The sequence below is a fragment of the Homo sapiens genome, chromosome 1 (genome assembly GCF_000001405.40).
Source record: "Homo sapiens chromosome 1, GRCh38.p14 Primary Assembly".
In the NCBI taxonomy this organism is placed as follows: domain Eukaryota; kingdom Metazoa; phylum Chordata; class Mammalia; order Primates; family Hominidae; genus Homo; species Homo sapiens.
Genome location: NC_000001.11, coordinates 154,983,308 through 155,001,553, shown reverse-complemented (window position 1 = coordinate 155,001,553; position 18,246 = coordinate 154,983,308). Strand labels below are relative to the sequence as shown.

The 18,246-nt window shown below is 53.2% G+C and overlaps 2 protein-coding genes across 9 annotated transcripts, besides 7 other annotated features; both read right to left on the bottom strand.

Annotated features, from left to right (window-relative positions):
• Positions 254 to 473: a silencer, noted in NCBI's record as "silent region_1376". NCBI's record gives its function as "represses an Ori minimal core promoter by ATAC-STARR-seq in GM12878 lymphoblastoid cells {active_cell/tissue: GM12878}" and the evidence as "EXISTENCE:reporter gene assay evidence [ECO:0000049][PMID:35858748]".
• Positions 554 to 633: a silencer, noted in NCBI's record as "silent region_1375". NCBI's record gives its function as "represses an Ori minimal core promoter by ATAC-STARR-seq in GM12878 lymphoblastoid cells {active_cell/tissue: GM12878}" and the evidence as "EXISTENCE:reporter gene assay evidence [ECO:0000049][PMID:35858748]".
• Positions 1,221 to 2,173: an enhancer, noted in NCBI's record as "H3K27ac-H3K4me1 hESC enhancer chr1:154971857-154972809 (GRCh37/hg19 assembly coordinates)". NCBI's record gives its function as "activates a minimal SCP1, AML or CMV promoter by ChIP-STARR-seq in naive and primed H9 embryonic stem cells {active_cell/tissue: H9 hESC(naive and primed)}" and the evidence as "EXISTENCE:reporter gene assay evidence [ECO:0000049][PMID:30033119]".
• Positions 1,224 to 1,463: a silencer, noted in NCBI's record as "silent region_1374". NCBI's record gives its function as "represses an Ori minimal core promoter by ATAC-STARR-seq in GM12878 lymphoblastoid cells {active_cell/tissue: GM12878}" and the evidence as "EXISTENCE:reporter gene assay evidence [ECO:0000049][PMID:35858748]".
• Positions 1,644 to 1,703: an enhancer, noted in NCBI's record as "active region_1801". NCBI's record gives its function as "activates an Ori minimal core promoter by ATAC-STARR-seq in GM12878 lymphoblastoid cells {active_cell/tissue: GM12878}" and the evidence as "EXISTENCE:reporter gene assay evidence [ECO:0000049][PMID:35858748]".
• Positions 1,944 to 2,023: a silencer, noted in NCBI's record as "silent region_1373". NCBI's record gives its function as "represses an Ori minimal core promoter by ATAC-STARR-seq in GM12878 lymphoblastoid cells {active_cell/tissue: GM12878}" and the evidence as "EXISTENCE:reporter gene assay evidence [ECO:0000049][PMID:35858748]".
• On the bottom strand, positions 7,233 to 7,968 carry LENEP (lens epithelial protein). Of its 2 annotated transcripts, NM_018655.3 has the most exons (2): positions 7,706 to 7,968; positions 7,233 to 7,624 (listed from the first exon to the last, which is right to left on the bottom strand). In NM_018655.3, exon 1 carries the CDS (start codon positions 7,944 to 7,946, stop codon positions 7,761 to 7,763), a length of 186 nt encoding a protein of 61 aa, NP_061125.1. In that variant the 5' UTR covers positions 7,947 to 7,968; the 3' UTR covers positions 7,233 to 7,624; positions 7,706 to 7,760. The 2 variants fall into 2 exon arrangements, with proteins under 2 accessions (NP_061125.1, NP_001381459.1); NM_001394530.1 differs by having other exon boundaries at positions 7,239 to 7,968.
• On the bottom strand, positions 8,443 to 18,210 carry FLAD1 (flavin adenine dinucleotide synthetase 1). 7 transcript variants are annotated; one of them, NM_201398.3, is made up of 8 exons: positions 18,157 to 18,210; positions 17,488 to 17,712; positions 12,705 to 13,449; positions 11,847 to 11,994; positions 11,297 to 11,395; positions 11,026 to 11,215; positions 8,768 to 8,841; positions 8,443 to 8,652 (listed from the first exon to the last, which is right to left on the bottom strand). In NM_201398.3, exons 2-8 carry the CDS (start codon positions 17,566 to 17,568, stop codon positions 8,517 to 8,519), a joined length of 1,473 nt encoding a protein of 490 aa, NP_958800.1. In that variant the 5' UTR covers positions 17,569 to 17,712; positions 18,157 to 18,210; the 3' UTR covers positions 8,443 to 8,516. The 7 variants fall into 7 exon arrangements, with proteins under 7 accessions (NP_958800.1, NP_079483.3, NP_001171820.1 ...); NM_025207.5 differs by having other exon boundaries at positions 17,488 to 18,210; NM_001184891.2 differs by having other exon boundaries at positions 8,443 to 8,841.
• Positions 15,253 to 15,942: an enhancer, noted in NCBI's record as "H3K27ac-H3K4me1 hESC enhancer chr1:154958088-154958777 (GRCh37/hg19 assembly coordinates)". NCBI's record gives its function as "activates a minimal SCP1, AML or CMV promoter by ChIP-STARR-seq in naive H9 embryonic stem cells {active_cell/tissue: H9 hESC(naive)}" and the evidence as "EXISTENCE:reporter gene assay evidence [ECO:0000049][PMID:30033119]".

The following is an 18,246-nucleotide window of genomic DNA, read 5'->3' as shown; positions in this document are numbered from 1 at the left end:
GGATGTTTTGGGATGTGTGGTATGTGTAGGTTTTGGGGAGGACCGGGATAAATACTTAGGAGTCCCCCAACTGAGAAAGGTAGCGGGTGAAGGATGTTTCTGACTGAGCCTGCGGAGCTGCGTACCCCAAAGGGCCCCTCCCACTAGTGTCAAATGGAATCAAATCCGGCTACCTAGGGCCAGGTTTGGCTCCCCTGCGACAAGCCAGGCCGAACCGGGTCGGACTCGCTTTCCCCTCCCAACCCCCCTCCGCAGGGGGCCTCCCTCCCTTTCCAGCAGGTGGCTTCTCGGGACACCAGCTCAACCTGTTGGACCACAATGGGCGGCGCCAGGGGGGCCCTGGCCCTCACCCGGGCTGACCCGGGATCCCCGCGCACGAGGGGCGGAGTCCAGGTCCCTCCCTCCCTCTTTCTCCCTCTCTCCCTCTCCGCGCCGGGCCGTGACTCAGCCTCGGGGCCGCTGCCCTGCGCCCCAGCCAGGGGCGGAAAGTGTGAGGCGCCCCTGAGGGCTCAGGCCAAACCAAACAGCCCCCCACCCCAGACATTATCTCACTGGAGAATTAGGGGGGCTATAGGAAGGAGGAGGTAGCGGCAGGCATGGGGCGCTCTGGCTCGAGTAATCCGCTCCGGGTTTTCCTATCGTCCCTGACCCCCTTGGGTCGCGAGGCTGATCACTGCTCCGGGTTTTCTTCTCAGCCCCGCCGGACAGATCCTGGTCCGGAGGGGCCCGGAGCCGTCCAGGCCGGGGTTTTCCCCTTCCTACTCCAGCCGTCTGGGTCGTGCAGGCCTGGTGAAGGGCTGTGCTAGGGGCTAGGCGGCAGTGCCACAAGTGAAATGGAGAGGGGGCTGCTTTGGGGAGGAAGGAGGATAGCCAAGGAAAGGGGGCGGGGGGCAGGGGGCGGGGGGCGGGGGGGGTGGGAACGTGGCCCGGGGAGGGCAGAGCCAGGGCTTCCAGAGGCAATAGAAGGGCGGGCTCCCTGGCACCAGCCTTTGGGTACAGAAACTCGAAAGGTGCCCAGTGCCTCAGGCTCGCCTCGCCCAACTTCCCCCATGTTTGAGGGTCGCGTTCTGCGTCTGGCTGAACATGACTGATCTTTCTGCGGCTAGATTGCCACTCCTCACCTCATTCCCAATGGTCCTGGAACCCGCAGTTAGTTCCTCAGTGACGCCCACCCTCCCTTGTCTCTCTTTTTCTCCTGGTGCAAATAGCTCCCCTCCTTACTCAGAAATCGGAGCGGGGAACCCCTACTTGAAATTCCCTCTTACCCCAACCCCTAACCACGCCAAACGACTGAAACAGCGGCGGCAGAGAAACGCTGACTGGGGACCCCGCCCCCTCCCATGAAACCCCTGCTGGGCCCCAGGGGCCGGCCGCCCCCGCCCCGCCACTAGGCCCAGACTGGAACTGGGAGCTGGAGGGCAAGTGAGGGGCCTGCAGGGGCCGCCTGGGGATAGGAGAGCGTCCCAGATCCGCATGTTAAGACTTAAATTTTTAGGTGACCAGCTAGACCTTAAATTTGGGGAGAGTAGCACGAGTTGGACAAATACCCAGAGAAGGAAGTGTTTACCCTAAGAGAGGAATGAAAGCCCCGAGTGGGAGGACTGAATACCTGGGGCTGGGGACAGCGACTCGGAATGACGGCCAGGTGCGCGGACTGGCCGGGCCACGTGCGCCGAAGGGTAGAAGCATAGAAGTTAGATGCTTGCAGAACCTGGGGGAATGAGGCCTTCAGGTGTTAAGAAAGGCGAGGCTTTGCCTGGGCGGGGTCCTGCGTGAGTGGGTCTGGGGGCCTGTTTCGGAATGTGGGGGGCTGAGCTGCAAGCGGAGCGTCAGCATGCGCCAGGCGCCCACCTCTTCTCCGCTGCTCCCCCCCATCCTCCGCTGCCTCCGCTTCCCTCGAAAAACCCGCCGCCCAGGAAACCGCTGGGGGCGCTCAGACCGCAGACCCCCCACGCCCCCCGCCCCCCAGCGCTCCCACCGCGACCGCCCAACCCACCTGAAGGGGCCGTGGCCGCCAGGGGTACCCCCCTCCCGCCGACTCCCCCCAACACCTGCGGGTGGCACTATTTATAACTCCGCGCCTATTCCGGGCCTCTGGGTTGGAGCCGGCTGCCGCGCAGCGCTAATCGCCGCCGGGATCTCTGCGCCCCCCAAGGCCGGGGGAGGCAAATTTAGCTTCAGGAAGCTCAGGGGAACAGTTTCCAAAACTCCACGTCCCAGAGAAGGCAAGACAACCCCTCTGCACTCAGCCTCCTTCCGATCAGCCACCAGGAGGCGCAGGTCCCCGGCTTCTCGAACCCAGCCAGCTAGGAGGTTACGGTCGCTTCTTTGAAGCTGGGGTAGGCGAAGGCCTGAGGGCGAATGATGGAAAGGAACTGAGGCCGAAGAATGGCTGGAGGAACGGGTACGCTCCAAGGCTGGCGAACACTCTAGAGTCTGAGAGTAACTGAGAAAGTTGGGTGGAGGGAAATAACTCACATGCAAGACAGATGTAAATATGATGCAAATAAGAGCCTATGCCCATGCCGGGCGCGGTGGCTCTCGCCTGTAATCTCAACACTTTGGGAGGCAGAGGCGGGTGGAACACCTGAGGTCAGGAGTTCGAGACCAGCCTAACCAACATGGTGAAACCCTGTCTCTAGTAAAAATACAAAAATTAGCCAGTCGTGGTGGCACACGCCTGTAGTCCCAGCTACTCAGGAGGCTGAAGCAGAATTGCCTGAACCTGGGAGGCGGAGGTTGCGGTGAGCCGAGATCGCGCCATTGCACTCCAGCCTGGGCAACAAGAGCCAAACCCCGTCTTTAAAAAAAAAAAAAAAAAAAAAAGCCTATGCCCTTGGGGATGGGTCTGCGCTCTGGCGCTGCCAGTGAAATGATTGCCACACACCCCTTTTTGCCGGCCTCTTGGTGTTGGGAAAACGTGGGACATCCCCACCCACCCACCCCTCCCCGCCGCCAGATTATTGCTATGATATCCAGTTTATTGCCTGCCGCTCCTCAGACCCTTGGGCCGTGACCCCTCTCCTCCAACTGTTCCTTGCATGCCAACGAGGGTCCTGTATCCGATGTAATCCGCCGGGAATCCTGGATATCAGGCTTCTCCTCTCGCTGTTGTACTTGAGGGTCACATCCAGCTGGTCCCTCCTGTCTCCATTCCTACTCCACCCATTCCCCCACCCCCTGTGACCATTAGAGGGCACCAGGGCACCGAGGGGTAGGTGAGGTTTTAATGGCAAAGGCCGCAATTACTTTTGCACCAACCTAATATCTTGGTACCCTGTCTCCTTCACCTCCCTCCCACCTTACTCCACTTGAGTTCCTGAGGGAGTAATTTGGACACTCAAAACCTGAGTTGCCCTAGTCGGGGAGAGATACTTGTGGGGGAACAGCCACAGAGTGGGGAGCCATGGGCCAGGAAAGATCTCTTGGCTGTGTGGATTAGGTGAAAGGGCTGCACCTGAAACCTCCAAATGGGCTGAGAACAGGGAGCTTAGGGCTGAGGTGGGAAGTGGCATGGAGCGGGTGCATGGAGGTGGTACCCTCCATGCTTTTGTTTGCATGGCCCTGCCTCCAGGCCACTTTGGCCACCATCTCCATGCAAACACCAGCTCAGAAGAGGAAGGCAGGCTCATTAGGAGAAGCCGTGAGTTGGGGATCTGAAAATCTGGGTTCGCTAAATGACTCCTTTACCTCAGTGTGCTGTGTATGTTCTTGGGCGAATCATTTCACCTCTTTGGGCCTATTTCCTTCATGTTAACATGGGATAATTGCTGAAGTGGACTTTCGTAAGGCTCAAAGCACTCTGTATTGTGAAAAGGGCTCTCTGAATGGTATCTGAGGTTTCTTTTATTCTCCTCATCCCTCTCCTCAGTCTTTACACTGCCAAAGCCCTCTTTCCCACTCTGACATTCTCCTTGGGCCACTGGCAGTCTCTACCTGTCACTCCCCCTGCTGCTCTCTATTACCCTTCTCACCACAGGCCACAGCCCTGGATTCTGCCTTCCTCTACCCACCACTTCCCCAGTGGTTTCTGCCAGACTTCCCCTCCCCTGGCAAAGGCCCTTGGGCTCAGACCTCAGACTCCAGGATCCACCTCTAGGCACTGCCCCGCTTGGTGGGAGTGAGGCCTAAGAAAGGAAAAGAAGGCGGTAGGCCAGGGCCTGAGTCAGGGAAGGAAAGGCTGGAGCTGGCCAAGTAGGGTGCAGGCTCTGAGGGGGAAGAAGGAGCCCCAGATTCATGGGAAGGTAAATTCTGACTACCCCCATCACTGGGACCAGGTGAGAGCCTCTCAACGGACCAGCCAAGAGCACTAAGCTGCATTTTGTGGATGCCTAAAGAGATGCACTGAGGCCGGGCACGGTGGCTTATGCTTGTAATCCCAGCGCTTTGGGAGGCCGAGGTGGGCGGATCACTTGAAGTCAGGAGTTCGAGATCAGTGTGGCCAACATGGTGAAACCCTGTCTCTACTAAAAATATCAAAATTGGCTGGGCGCGGTGGCTCACGCCTGTAATCCTAGCACTTTGGGAGGCCACGGTGGGCGGATCACGAGGTCAGGAGATCAAGACCATCCTAGCTAACATGGTGAAACCCCGTCTCTACTAAAAATACAAAAAATTAGCCGGGAGTGGGGGCGGGCACCTGTATCCTAGCTACTCGGGAGGCTGAGGCAGGAGAATGGTGTGAACCCGGGAGGCAGGGCTTGCAGTGAGCTGAGATCGCGCCACTGCACTCCACCCTGGGTGACAGAGCGAGACTCTGTCTCAAAAAAAAAAAATCGAAATTAGCAGGACATGGTGGTACGCTCCTGTAATCCCAGCTACTCAGGAGGCTGAGGTAGGAAAATCGCTTCAACCCGGGGGACGGAGGTTGCAGTGAGCTGAGATTGTACCATCGCACTCCAGCCTGGGTGACAGAGTGAGAATCTGTCTCAAAAAAAAAAAAAAAAAAAAAGACACATTGACCTGCCAGGGATAAGAAATAAGCTCAAGTTGGAGTACCGTAGAGGCTAGGCTGCTGTAAAAAAGAATGGACAGGCTCTCCGTGTACTGATGTGGGATCCTGAATCCTGTCCAAGGTTTATCAAAGGAAAAGAAGCAAAGTGCAGAACAGCGTGGAGAGTATGTTAACTAGGAAGAGTAATATATCCAGAATCCAGCCACCCCTCACTACTGCTATTGCTATAAACCTGGTCCGAGACCACCAACATGTCTGGCCTATATTGTGCCATTACCTCCTAATAGGTCACTCGTATTCTACCTTTGCTCCCCTGAAATCTATTCTCAACACAGCAGCCAGCTTGAGCCTTTTAAATTAAAAAACTCATTTCACACTCAATATTCGGCAATAGTTCCTCATTTCACTCAGCATAAAAGCTCAAATTCTTAGGCCCTCTATGACCTGCCCCCATTCCCACCTCCAGCTCGATTTCCACTTCTTTTTTCTATAGTGCCTATCATCTAATAACATATACATACTTTAAAAAATGTTTATAGTTTGTCCTCTCCACCCCCTAAAATGTAAGCTTCACAAGTACAAGGATCTGTTTTGTTCACTGCTGCATCCAAAGACCCACAGTGACATATAATATACACTCAATAACTCAATATTTGTTGAATGAATGAAGATGCAGTCTATGCACAGACTGGAATGTTCTCCAAGAAACTGGTAACCATGGTTGCCTCCAGGGGGAGCGCTAAAGGATTGGGGGATAGACGTGGAGACTTTTAACTATTAGAGTTCTTTTTTTTTTTTTTTTTTTTTTATAAGACGAAGTCTTGCTGTGTCACCCAGGCTGGAGTGCAATGGTGCAATCTTGGCTCACTGCAACCTCCACCTCCTGGGTTCAAGCCATTCTCCTGCCTCAGCCTCCCAGGTAGCTGGGACTACAGGCATGTGCCACCACGTCCAGCTAATTTTTTTGTATTTTTAGTAGAGATGGGGTTTCACCATGCTGGCCAGGCTGGTCTCGAACTCCTGACCTCAAGTGATCCACCCACCTCGGCCTTGTCCCAAAGTGCTGGGATTACAGATGTGAGCCACCGCGCCCGGCCTTTTTTTTTTTTTTTTTTTTTGAGACAGAGTTTCATTCTTGTCCCCCAGGCTGGAGCGCAGTGGCATGATCTCAGCTCACCGCAAACTCTGCCTCCCGGGTTCAAGTGATTCTCCTGTCTCAGCCTCCCAAGTAGCTGGGATTACAGGCACTCACCACCTCGCCCAGCTAATTATTTTTAGTAGAGATGCAGTTTCACCATGTTGGCCAGGCTGGTCTAGAACTCCTGACCTCAGGTGATCTGCCCGCCTCTGCCTCCCAAAGTGCTGGGATTACAGGTGTGAGCCACTGTACCTGGCCTGGCCTAAAGTTCTTTACTCTGGGCATATATCACCTTTACAAAAAGAATCTAGAAAAAAAAAAGAGTTAACTAAGAAGAAGGCTGAGGAAGAGCTGGTCCCAGGCAGGGAGGAAGAGGGCACTATCTATAATCTCCAGGCCAGTGCCCCAAGTGACAAAGGGCTGGGGGATGATAACTGGCCCCCCAGGAGGGGCCAGAGAATGCTGGATGGGAATCCCAGGGAAATACTGAACAGTCCCAAACAGGCTGGCTCTGAGGTTTGGGGGGCTGTGGGTGGGCAGATCAGTAAGCATAAGCACCCCCTGAGCAAGACGATACACATGGCTGGTGTATATCTACCACCGGGAGTAACTCATGGAAAATACCAGCTGTGGCTACCAAGAGGAAGTAAAGAGCCAATTCTGCTCAATCTAGCTGTTTATGTCCTGATAGGGCTGTGTCATGATAAGCCTGAGGGACCTGTGTGGCCACACAGGTGTCTTTCTCTGGTAACTTTGTATGTGAGCTGGGAGCTCTTGTAGCTCATGGGGTCCTACTTCCTTGATGAGCTGGGGACTAGCCTCAGCGCAGTGCTTTCCCCAAGATCCTCAGAGGCAGGAAGCTGCCTGGACCAGGTCTTCTATTTGGGAAAGGGCTGGGTCCTCTGGGTTTCCACACACCCTTGGCCTCACAGATGAAGACCCTACTCAAGCTGGGTCCCCTCCTTACCCACAGATTGAGAGGAACCTGAACTGTCTTCCACCCTCCCCACTCAGGAACCAGTGAGTCAGAAAACCTGGCTTTCAATCTTGGTTCTATTCAGGACAAGCTCCTTCCCTCCCTGGTCTGCACCCTTGCTCCCAGACCGTTCTAGTGCTGACTTTTTCTGATTCCCCTTTAGACACTTATAATCTTGGGCCTCAAGGCCTATGGATTATATTTATAATTCAGTGATTCTCAAACAGGTTTCTTAGGGGGCAGTCCATTCTTGGTACTATGAGGGTATGGTAAGATCAACCATCTGAGCTGGTGGGCTCACTGTGCCAAGCTTGGAGGAGTGCCAGGTCTTGCCACAATCTTACTGGGGTCCTAGCCAGAGCAGTCCAAGCTCCTGCCCACCAGAGGTCCACCAGAGGCAGGGGTTGGGAATGAAGGAGGCTCAGAGATGAGGCAGGTCTGCTAGATGACACAGCTCAAAGCAGGATCCACACTTTACTGTTTACTCATTGTTTATGGCCCATCCTTGGTCAAGCACAGCTGGCTTCAGGAGTCTTGATGGCAATTGGGCTGGGGGCTAAAGAAGAGAATGAGAAGCTAAGGCAAGCTCTGCCACAGAAGCTGCAGCTATGCCTCCTGTTTACTCTACCCTGCCCACCTGAGCGATGCCAGCCATGGTGCTGGTGGGGAGAGGAGGCAGTTCCCTGCTACCATTAATCCAGCAGTTCCTTGATACACCAGCAGCAGAGGAGGATGTAGGCGACTTCCTTCAGGGTCCGCTGGAAGCCCTCCCACCCTGTGCCCATCTTAATGACAGGCACCCGCAGCCCAGTGTCTCGAGGGGCCCCTCCGAGGAAGAAGGGTAGGGTTTGGGCTAGGGGCTGTGTCCGGGGCTGCATGTGGGCAACAGTTCCGAGGAAGGGTGTGGGAGCTGCCTCTAGTGCCTTTTATCAACACTGTCCCCACCCCCTTCAGCCTCATGACTACAGAGACAAAGGATCCAGGGTCTAGCAAAGGGAAGGTTCTAGGCCTGGGAACAGGCTGAGTCAGCCCCTCTAGACAGGGATGGGAGGGTGGGGTTAGTGGGAGGGAGGGCCTGGCCACTCCATCTTTCATCCTCCACAGCTAGGCCAAGGCAGCTTCCCCTCTTCCAGCCCAGGTGGTGCCCTGCCTGATTGCCCTTTTCCCAGTGGTTGGCACAACTCCTGCTTTCGCCCTCTGGTGGGCTCCTGCTGAGGCTGACATTGAGAACCATCAGTGAGAGCTCCTTTCCAGCCTGTTCTGCCCTGCCCCTGGGCCCCTTAGAGTGAGCACAGCCAGTCAGAGCTGGCAGCATTTGACCCACTTCTGCTTCTCCCATCCTCTGGAGCAGGAAGACACAGCTAGAGCAACAGGCACAGTGAGAGGCACGGTTTATTGCCAGGTTATACCCTAGGACGGTGTCCTTCCCTCCCTCCTAGGGTGGGAGGTCATGTGCGGGAGTTCCGCTCCTCTTCTTCGTTCTCCAGTAGATAGGCTGGACGGTATGTGGGGTGTCCTCCTGGGCTCAGGCACTTCAGGGCCGGGTTCCGCACGGTATTCTCCCGACTCCCCAGTGATGTGTATCTGGAGCAGGGAGGGTGGAGGGCAAGCATGTGGTAGGGTGGGCGATCCTATTGGCCCTCCCTATCCCAGCACCCTAAAAACTCCCTTACCCATTCCCTTCCCCTAATACCCTTACCCTCGGTCATACAGGATACAGTATGGGACAAACAGCTGACGCAGAAAATCCCAGATGTCTCTGTAGGTCCAGTCCTGGGAGGTCAGAGTAATAGAATAGTCACAAATGCTCACCTTTCCCACTTCTACCCCTGCTGTCCTGGGAAGGGGCCCATCCATGGCTCTTCTGCTCCCTTGGCCTCTGAGGGAGGGCTTGCTATCTGATTCTCTGGTATAGCTTGCTCTATGTATGCAAAGAGAAAGAGAAGGACTTCATCTTCTCCACTCTCTGCTTTCCATTCTTGAACCACCCTCTAGTGCAAGGGTGGAGCTTGAGGACAGGGAGAAACCGTCTATTTTTTTTTTGAGACGGAGTCTGGCTCTGTCGCCCAGGCTGGAGTGCAGTGGCGTGGTCTTGGCTCACTGCAACCTCTGCCTCCCGGGTTCATGCCATTCTCCTGCCTCAGCCTCCCGAGTAGCTGGCACTACAGGCGCCCACCACTGTGCCCAGCTAATTTTTTGTATTTTTAGTAGAGACGGGATTTCACTGTGTAGCCAGGATGGTCTCCATCTCCTGACTTCATGATCCGCCCGCCACGGCCTCCCAAAGTGCTGGGATTACAGGCGTGTGCCACCATGCCCGGCCCTATTTTTTTTTTTTTTTTTGAGACGGAGTCTTGCTCTGTCACCCAGGCTGGAGTGCAGTGGCGCGATCTTGGCTCACTGCAACCTCCGCTTCCCAGATTTAAGCAATTCTCCTGCCTCAGCCTCCTGAGTAGCTGGGATTACAGGCATGCGCCACCACAGCCGGCTAATTTTTGTATTTTTTTAGTAGAGATGGGGTTTCACCATGTTGGTCAGGCTGGTCTTGAAATCCTGACCTCGTGATGTGCCTGCCTCGGCCTCCCAAAGTGCTGGGATTACAGGCGTGTGCCACCGTGCCCAGCCCTATTTTTTTTAGACAGGGCCTTTACTGTTGCCCAGGCTGGAGTGCACTGGCATGATCATGGCTCACTACAGCCTCGACTTCCCTGGCTCAAGCGATCTTCCCGCCTCAGCCTGAGTAGCTGGGACTACAGGCATTGATCAGCCCACCTCGGCCTCCCAGAGTGCTGGGGTTACAGGTGTGAGCCACTGTGCCTGGCCAGAACTTCCTGTGATGATGGAAATGTTCTGTATCTCTACTGTCTAATATGGTGGTCATTTGAAATGTGGCTAGTACAACTGAATAACTGTATTTTTTTTTTGTTTGTTTGGACGGAGTCTCACTCTGTTGCTCAGGCTGGAGTATAGTGGTGCCATCTTGGCTCACTGCAACCTCTGCCTCCTGGGTTCAAGTGATTCTCCTACCTCAGCCTCCTGAGTAGTTGGGATTACAGGTGCCTGCCACCACGCTCCGCTAATTTTTGTATTTTTAGTAGAGACTGGGTTTCATCATTTTGGTTAGGCTGGTCTCGATCTCCTGACCTCAGGCGATCCACCTGCCTCAGCCTCCCAAAGTGCAGGGATTACAGGTGTAAGCCACTACGCCCGGCCTGTGTATGTGTGTGTGTATATATATATATACATATATATATATATATTTTTTTTTTTTTTTTTTTTGAGACAGAGTCTTGTTCTGTTGCCCAGGCTGGAGTACAGTGGTGCCATCTCAGCTCACTGCAACCTCCGTCTCCTGGGTTCAAGCAATTCTCCTGCCTCAGCCTCTCGAGTAACTAGGACTACAGGCCACCACGCCTGGCTAATTTTTTGTATTTTTAGTAGAGACAGGGTTTCGCCATGTTGGCCAGGCTGGTCTCGAACTCCTGGCCTCAAGTGATCTGCCCACCATGGCCTCCCAAAGTGCTGGGATTACAGGCGTGAGCCACTGCGCCCAGCCAGAACTGAATTTTTAATTGTACTTAATTTTAAAAATTGAGGTATCCACATACCATCAAATTCATCCTTTTAAAGTATATAATTCAGTGGTTTTTAGTCATATGTATTTCATTCTAATTAATTAAAATTTAAGTATAAATAAATAATTAATGGCTATATTGGACAGCACAAGTCTAAGTCACTATTCTATCCACAGTAGGAAGTGCAATGCCTGCTATTGAATTTGGGCTCAATAAATATTGGTCAAAAGGATGAATGAACAGATAGCACTGCCTCCCTTGGATGATGAGGCCCCTTCATCCAGGTTCCAGGCTCTAGCCTCCCCACTACTGCAGGTGAGCTAGGGTGCAGTGACTGCTGGGGCACGTGAGACTGAAGGTGATAAACCCTCTTCCCCATTACCAGCAGTGGGTTGATGCGCATGAATGCGGGCCAGCCTGGGTCAGTGGGGCTGAAAGGGCAGAGGCTACAGGAGTAGGGGTCAGTCCGGCGGGTGCCCATAAGGACAGCCTCCAGCTGGGGGTGCCGTGCCTGCAGTTCACCCAGGGCCTGCTTCATGCTGCCCTCAGCTTCCAACATCTGCAGATTATACCTTAGGAAGAAACAGAAGTAGGGGTCGGGCGTGGGCTCTGTCAAGCTTCTCTTGGAGCCCAAACCTCCAGGCCCCTAGTACCTCTTGATAGTGTCCTGTAGAAACTGTTCCAGCTCAGGGAAAGGGGAGATGCTGCGGATATACAGGATCTGGAGGGGGTTTGGAACATCAGGTAATTTCCTGCAGAGGGGGAAGAATCCACAGGCTTGTGAGCATGGACAAGGAAATGGCTCCCCTGAAACAGCTCACTGTTCTCGTTGGCCCCTAGGACAGACTCTCACCCCTTCTCCCTTTTCCTTGTCCTTTCCATCCATTAGACCCACTTCCTCTGGGAAGCCCACTCTGACCTTTCACCTCTCAAATCTAAGCACGCATCCCTGGTTCAGGTATGTAAATCTCTCATCTCCCCAGCAGGACTGTGACCTCCCTGTCGTCAGGGATAGTGGCCTGCACATCCATACACAAGGCCAGGCACATATCATATACTCAATATGGTGGGAGAATGGAACTGAGAGGTCACCATGACTATCTCCCTCTTGAACTCCACCTGTACACCCCCTTTCTCCTTGCTTTCTGGGATGTGGAACTGGAGAAACAGATCAGGGGTCTTGTCTCCCGGGGGCAGGCTCACCTCTGCACAGCTGCATGGAAGAGGTGCAGGAGGGCAGTGCAGTCTTTGCCCCCGTTGAAGCCCACACAGAGCTGGGTGAGGCTGTACTGAGCCAGGGAGGTCTCAATGGTCTGTAGGGCACCTGCCACCTTTTTCCCCAAAGAAGACCCTGCCAAGCAGGCAGGGAAGAGGGCATCAGATGGACACATATGGCTATCAAAGGGGAGTGAAGGCATGCTGCCCTTGCTTAAACCCTTCAATATCTTCCCAGTGTTCTGAGGATAAAGTCCAAACTCCTTCATGCTGCCCGCTAGGCCCTGCAGTCTGCCCCTGACCTGCCCTGCCATCTGCCACCCAGCCACACCTCACAGTAGCCTCAGTGTCATTCCTCTGTAGCAGGGGGTGTGGGGTGTGGGCTTCCTTCCATTCCCTAACCCCATGCTGCTTCCTTGCAGGCCCTCATTCATACTGTTGGCTCTTGCCCACCTACTGAACTGATCAAATCCTCCTTATCACTCAGTTTATGTCATTTGGCCTTCTCTGACCCCAGATCAAGGCTGATCTCCCTGCTGTGGGAGATCACTCCTTTCATCACCCCATGCAGGATCACCTGTTTAATGTCCATCTTTTTTTGTTAAAACACTGGTCCATAAGAGCAGGGCATACATTATCCTATTGAGCCATATCCCCAACACCTAGCACAGTGCTGATGAAAATAGGTACTCAATCAACATTTATTGGAAGAATAATGAATTAACAGAAGCTATCTTCTGCCCTCTCAGGGATTTGCAGGAAGCACCCAACAGCCCCTGCATTACTGAGATCTGGGGTGCCACCAATGGCTTTGGGCATAATGCCCCTCCTCCATAAGGTCCCTACCTGATTCAGCGAGTTTGTATACAGCCTCACTGGCCTGCTCCACAGCGTTGGGCATGTAGGGGACCAGCGATCCCTGGGGCAAACGGGCAGTCAGGTAGGCCAAGCATTCCTCCAGGGGTCCTTCTTCCTCTGAGTCTAGAGTCAGCTTCACCTGATAGTAGTTGCTGCCCCAGTCAGGGTAGGAACCCAGGCCAAGCCTACGTCCAAAGTGGGCCTGGGCCTCAGCCAGAATGGGGGCGATGGAGGCTTCATCAGCAGCCACATATAGCTCCTTTGAGTGGAACTGAACAGCTGGGTTTTGGAATAGTCCCTTCATCCCCTCCAGCACCCGCCGCAGCAGCTCTGGAATGCCTGGGAAGAGGTAGACGTTTCGGACGGAGACCAGAGGGAATCTGAAAGGTTGACCAGTGCAAGGATCTGTGCCATAATGCAGGCGGGCAGAGGAGGGCACCAATGATAGCTTCTCCCAGCCTTCCCCTCCTAGGGCTTTGGTGGCTGCTTCCAACTTGGGGTGTGGCTTCAGCTCATCTCCAAAGGCCTGTGCCACTGCCTCAAAGGTCACATCATCATGAGTGGGGCCGATGCCCCCTGCTGTGAGGACATGGGTGAAGCGGTTGGAGAAAGAAGTGACCTCAGCTGCAATGGTGGCTACCTCATCAGGTACAACTGAGACTCGGCAAACCTGGACCCCTAGGGAGCGCAGTGTCCGGCACAGAAAGAAGGTGTTGGTGTCCTGAGTGTGTCCCTGGGGGTTGAAGGGGAAGATGAGGCCATCAGTACTGTAGGGATGAAGGGGAGGGGTTGAAGATGATGGCTGCATCCACCTGATGATGCAGTGCTCTGCTCTTTGAAGGACACCACCTCAGGCTGCTGAGGGGCCTGGACTGGACACAAGAGTGGGAAAATCCATTTGTTTGGTTTTAAAGCTGGGTCTCTGTCACCCAGGCTGGAGTATAGTGGCTCAGTCACAGTTCACTGCAGCCTCAACCTCCTGGCTTCAAGGGCCACCCCAGCCTTCCGAGTAGCTGGGACTACAGGCGCGTGCCACCACATTCAGCTCATTTTAAATTTTTTTTGTAGAAATGGGGTCTTGCCATGTTGCCCAGGCTGGTGTTGAATTCCTGGTCTCAAGTGATCCTCCTGCCTCAGCCTCCCAAAGTGCTGGAATTATAGGTGTGAGCCACCACGCCTGGCCTGCTTTCTTCTTTCTGTCCCCACTGCCACCAAGCAGGTCCTTAGCACCTTTCACCTGGACAATGGCGACAGCTTCCTGGCCAGGCTCCCAGCCTCCAGCCACAGTGCTCTGATGTCTCCGGAGTAACCGTTTTAATGCGTCACTGTGATTGCATCACTCTTGGACTCAAAAGCCATTTGTTGTTTCCAACTGTATACAGAAGAAAGTTCAAATTCCTTTGCAGAGTATTTGGGGCTGTCTGTGGCGTATACCCTATCTTCTTTTCCAGCCCCATCTCCCTCTAATTGTCTACAAAGGGTTTAGTGGTTAAGGGTCTGTGTTCTGATGGCCGGGCATGGTGGCTCATGCCTGTAATTCCAGCCCTTTGGGAGGTGGAGTGGGGTGGCTCGCTTGAGCTCAGAAGTTCGAGACCAACCGGCACAGTATGGTAAAACCCCATCTCTACAAAAAAATACAAAAATTAGCGGGGCGTGGTGGCGCATGCCTGTAGTCCCAGCTACTTGGGAGGCTGAAGTGGGTGGGCTGCTTGAGCCTGGGAGGCAGAGACTGCAGTGAGCCGAGATCATGCCACTGTACTCCAGCCTGGGTGACAGGGACCCTGTCACCAAAGGAAAAAAAAAAAAGGGTCTGTGTTTTGGAGTAAGGGAGCATCAGGCATTAGGCTGGAATCCCATCTCTACAACTTCCTAGGTATGTAACCCTGGGCAGGTTTCTCAACCTCTCTGACCCCCAGTTTCATCAATTGGGATTTTTTGCCGACCAGGTGTGGTGGCTCACGCCTGTAATCCCAGCATTTTTGGAGGCTGAGGTGGGAGGATTGCTTGAGCCTAGGAGTTTGAGACCAGCCTGGGCAACATGGTGAAACCCTGTCTCTACAAAAAAATACAAAAAATTAGCTCTAGCCTAGGCGACAGTGAGACTTTGTCTCAAAAAAAAAAAAAAAAAAAAAAGGGTGGGGGGCTGGGCAAGGTTGCTCATGCCTGTAATCCCATCACTTTGGGAGGCTGATGTGGGAGAATTGCTTGAGGCTGGCCTGTTTAACATAGCGAGAACCCCGTTTATAAAACAAATGCACACAGAAAAATAAAATTTTAAAGAAGAAAAAAAGTGCCAACTTCGTGGGATTTTTGTGTGGGGTTGTTGTGAAGATTAGTAAAATCACATATATGTGATGTATAGGACACTACCAGACTCTAGTAGGCACTTAAAATATAGGGGTCACCAGCCTGGCCAAAATGGTGAAACTCTGTCTCTACTAAAAATACAAAAAATTAGCCAGTCGTGGTGGCGGGCGCCTGTAGTCCCAGCTACTCGGGAGGCTGAGGCAGGAGAATGGCGTGAACCCGGGAGGCGGAGCTTGCAGTGAGCCGAGACCGCGCCACTGCACTCCAGCCTGGGTGACAGAGCGAGACTCCGTCTCAAAACAAACAAACAAAAACCCCACAAAAATTAGCCAGGCGTGGTGGCGGGTGCCTGTAATCTCAGCTACTCGGGAGACTGAGGTGAGATAATTGCCTGAACCTAGGAGGCAGAGGTTGCAGTGAGCTGAGATTGCGCCATTTGCGCTCCAGCGTGAGCAGCAGGAGCGAAACTCCGTCACACACACACACACACACACACACACACACACACACAGCCGGGCGCAGTGGCTCATGCCTCCCAGCACTTTGGGAGGCTGAAGCGGGTGGATCACCTGAGGTCAGGAGTTCGAGACCAGCCTGACCAACATGGAGAAACCCCGTCTCTACTAAAAATACAAAAATTAACCGGGCGTGGTGGCCCATGCTTGTAATCCCAGCTACTCGGGAAGCTGAGGCAGGAGAGTCGCTTGAACCCAGGAGGCGGAGGTTACGGTGAGCCAAGATCGAGCCATTGCACTCCAGCCTGGGCAACAAAAGTGAAACTCTGTCTCAAAAAAAAAAAAAAAAAAAAAAAAAATTGGGGTCAGGGCCAGGTGAGGTGGCTCACGCCTGTAATCCCAACATTTTGGGAGGCTGAGGTGGGTGGATCACTTGAGGTCAGGAGTTCGAGACCAGCCTGGCCAACATGGCGAAACCCCATCCGTCCCTACTAAAAATACAAAAATTAGCCAGGTGTGGTGGCACATGCCTGTAGTCCCAGCCACTTGGGAGGCTGAGACAGGAGAATTGCTTGAACCTGGGAGGTGGAGGTTGCAGTGAGCCAAAATTGATCACGCCACTGCACTCCAACCTGGGCAACAGAACAAGACTCTGTCTAAAAAAAAAAAAAGGGTCTATTAAGGCTGAGTGCAGTGGCTCATGCCTGTAATCCCAACTACTCGGGTGGCTGAGGCATGAGAACTGCTTGAACGCGAGAGGTGGAGGTGCAGTCAGCTGAGATCCCACCAATGCACTCCAGCCTGGGCAACAGAGTGAGACTATCTAAAAAAAAAAAACAAAAAAAACAAAAAAAACACAAATTTACAAAGAATATTAAAAAAGATTATTATTAAAACTTGACATTTGGCCAAGCTCAGTGGTTCATGCCTATAATCCCAGCAAGGTGTGGGAGGATTGCTTGAGCCCAGGAGTTTGAGACCAGCCTGGGCAACATAGTGAGACCGTTTCTGAAAAAAAAAAAAAAAAAAAAAAAAAAAAAAAAATTAGCCAGGTGTGGCGGCTAACACCTGTAGTCACAGCAACTCCAGATGCTGAGGCAGGAGGACTGCTTGAGCCTGGAAGATGGAGGCTTCAGTGAGCTGTGACTGTGCCACTGCACTCCAGCCTAGGTGACAGAGCAAAATCTTGTCTCAAAAACAAAAAAACCCGTGTCATCTGTTATGTCCTCTAGTAAGACTTTCCTGATCATTCGGAGGGGATTCATCCCTTCTAGTACCTTCCTTCTAGCTCACTTATCCACTACGCTGAGTACCTTGAGTCATTTCCAAAAAGGCTGGGTAAAACTCTTTTTTTTTTTTTTTTTTTTGAGACGGAGTTTCGCTCTTGTTGCCCAGGCTGGAGTGCAATGGCACGATCTCAGCTCACTGCAACCTCCGCCTCCCACGTTCAAGCAATTCTCCTGCCTCAGCCTGCCAAGTAGCTGGGATTACAGGCATGCACCACCACGCCTGGCTAATTTTGTATTTTTAGTAGAGATGGGGTTTCTCCATGTTGAGGCTGGTCTCGAACTCCTGAACTCGTGATCCACCCGCCTCGGCCTCCCAAAGTGCTGGGATTACATGCGTGAGCCACCGCACCCGGCCAAAACTCTTAAATATACAATACACACACCTGTACCTCCTCTACTCGAGGGGCTTCCTGTCATTGTTGTGTAGCTCCTCTGCCCTCTACCATACTGCTTGGTAAATTGCAATGACCTTTTTATTTTTCTTTTTTTCAATCAGCTCTCTCAGGTTGAAAAATTGTAGGGACTTTGCTACAAGTTTTTCAGTAGAGTAATTGAAAGAATGAGGGTTAATTTTCCTCCAATATGCTGGATTCACTCCAGGATCCTACTGCAGCAAAGAGGCTCCCACCCTGTTTCACCTCCTTCCATGGAGGGATGTGCAGCAGGCCCTTAAGGACAGGAGAACGCAGCGCCCTCCCCCCTTTTCTGTCCCAGACACACCTTAAGGATCTCATCTCCAACAATGATGATGCCAGCCGTCACGCTGCGCCCCGGAGAAAGTTCAGAGGCCCTAGATGTCATGGTCCTGCCTTCTCTGCCCCTCTGCAAGGCCCTCCAGTAGCCACCCAGACCCCCAAATAGGGGTCGCAAGCACGGGGGGCCTGCCAGGTCTACAGGGCACTGGGGGCCATAGCCTGGGAACAGGGGGTCCTGGGTCGAGGGAACCTGGAGAAGCCAGAAAAGACAATGGGGGAGAGCAGGCGTGCGCGTGCTTCCTTCGAGGAAGACCCTAGTCTTCTCTAACCAGATCCTTGACAAGCGACTCCTTTGTTCCTGCCTCTGGAATAAACGTGTTCCCAAATCCCAACCCATGTCCTTTTAAATGTCTTGCTTAGCTCTAGTCTTAAAAACTTCTTCTCTCTTGAGAACCTACCACTTTAAGTGTCTTCCGTTTGCTGAGCTGGTCTCCTCAAGTGTCTGCTCTACCTTGGGCATCCGTACCCCTTTAAATGTCTACCTTATCCTGGGCCTTGGCCCTTTTCAATGCATTCGCTCTCCACCCCGGACCAAAATCCCGTCTCTTTCTACTTCAGGCTTCTGCACCCTTTCTAGCCCAGAATCCCTTCTTCCCACCAAGCTTCAGATTACTGAGCCCTCTTAGACTCTCACCTGCCTGTTCTGCCCCTTCACCGGCTCTTTCCCTTGTTCCTTTCCTCATGTCCCGGGGCAGCTTCCGTACTTAAAGTCCCGCCTTGCACC

What these genes read in the sequence shown, in the direction of transcription:
- FLAD1 (NM_025207.5), bottom strand. Translation starts at nt 17,859, where the DNA reads ATGGGTTGGGATTTGGGAACACGTTTATTCCAGAGGCAGGAACAAAGG. An exon ending in ATACAAACTCGCTGAATCAG is followed by an intron (nt 11,995 to 12,704) that starts GTAGGGACCTTA and finishes CCTGCTTGGCAG; the next exon opens with GGTCTTCTTTGGGGAAAAAG. An exon ending in TGTATCCTGTATGACCGAGG is followed by an intron (nt 8,653 to 8,767) that starts GTAAGGGTATTA and finishes TCCCTGCTCCAG; the next exon opens with ATACACATCACTGGGGAGTC.
- LENEP (NM_018655.3), bottom strand. Translation starts at nt 7,946, where the DNA reads ATGCAGCCCCGGACACAGCCCCTAGCCCAAACCCTACCCTTCTTCCTC.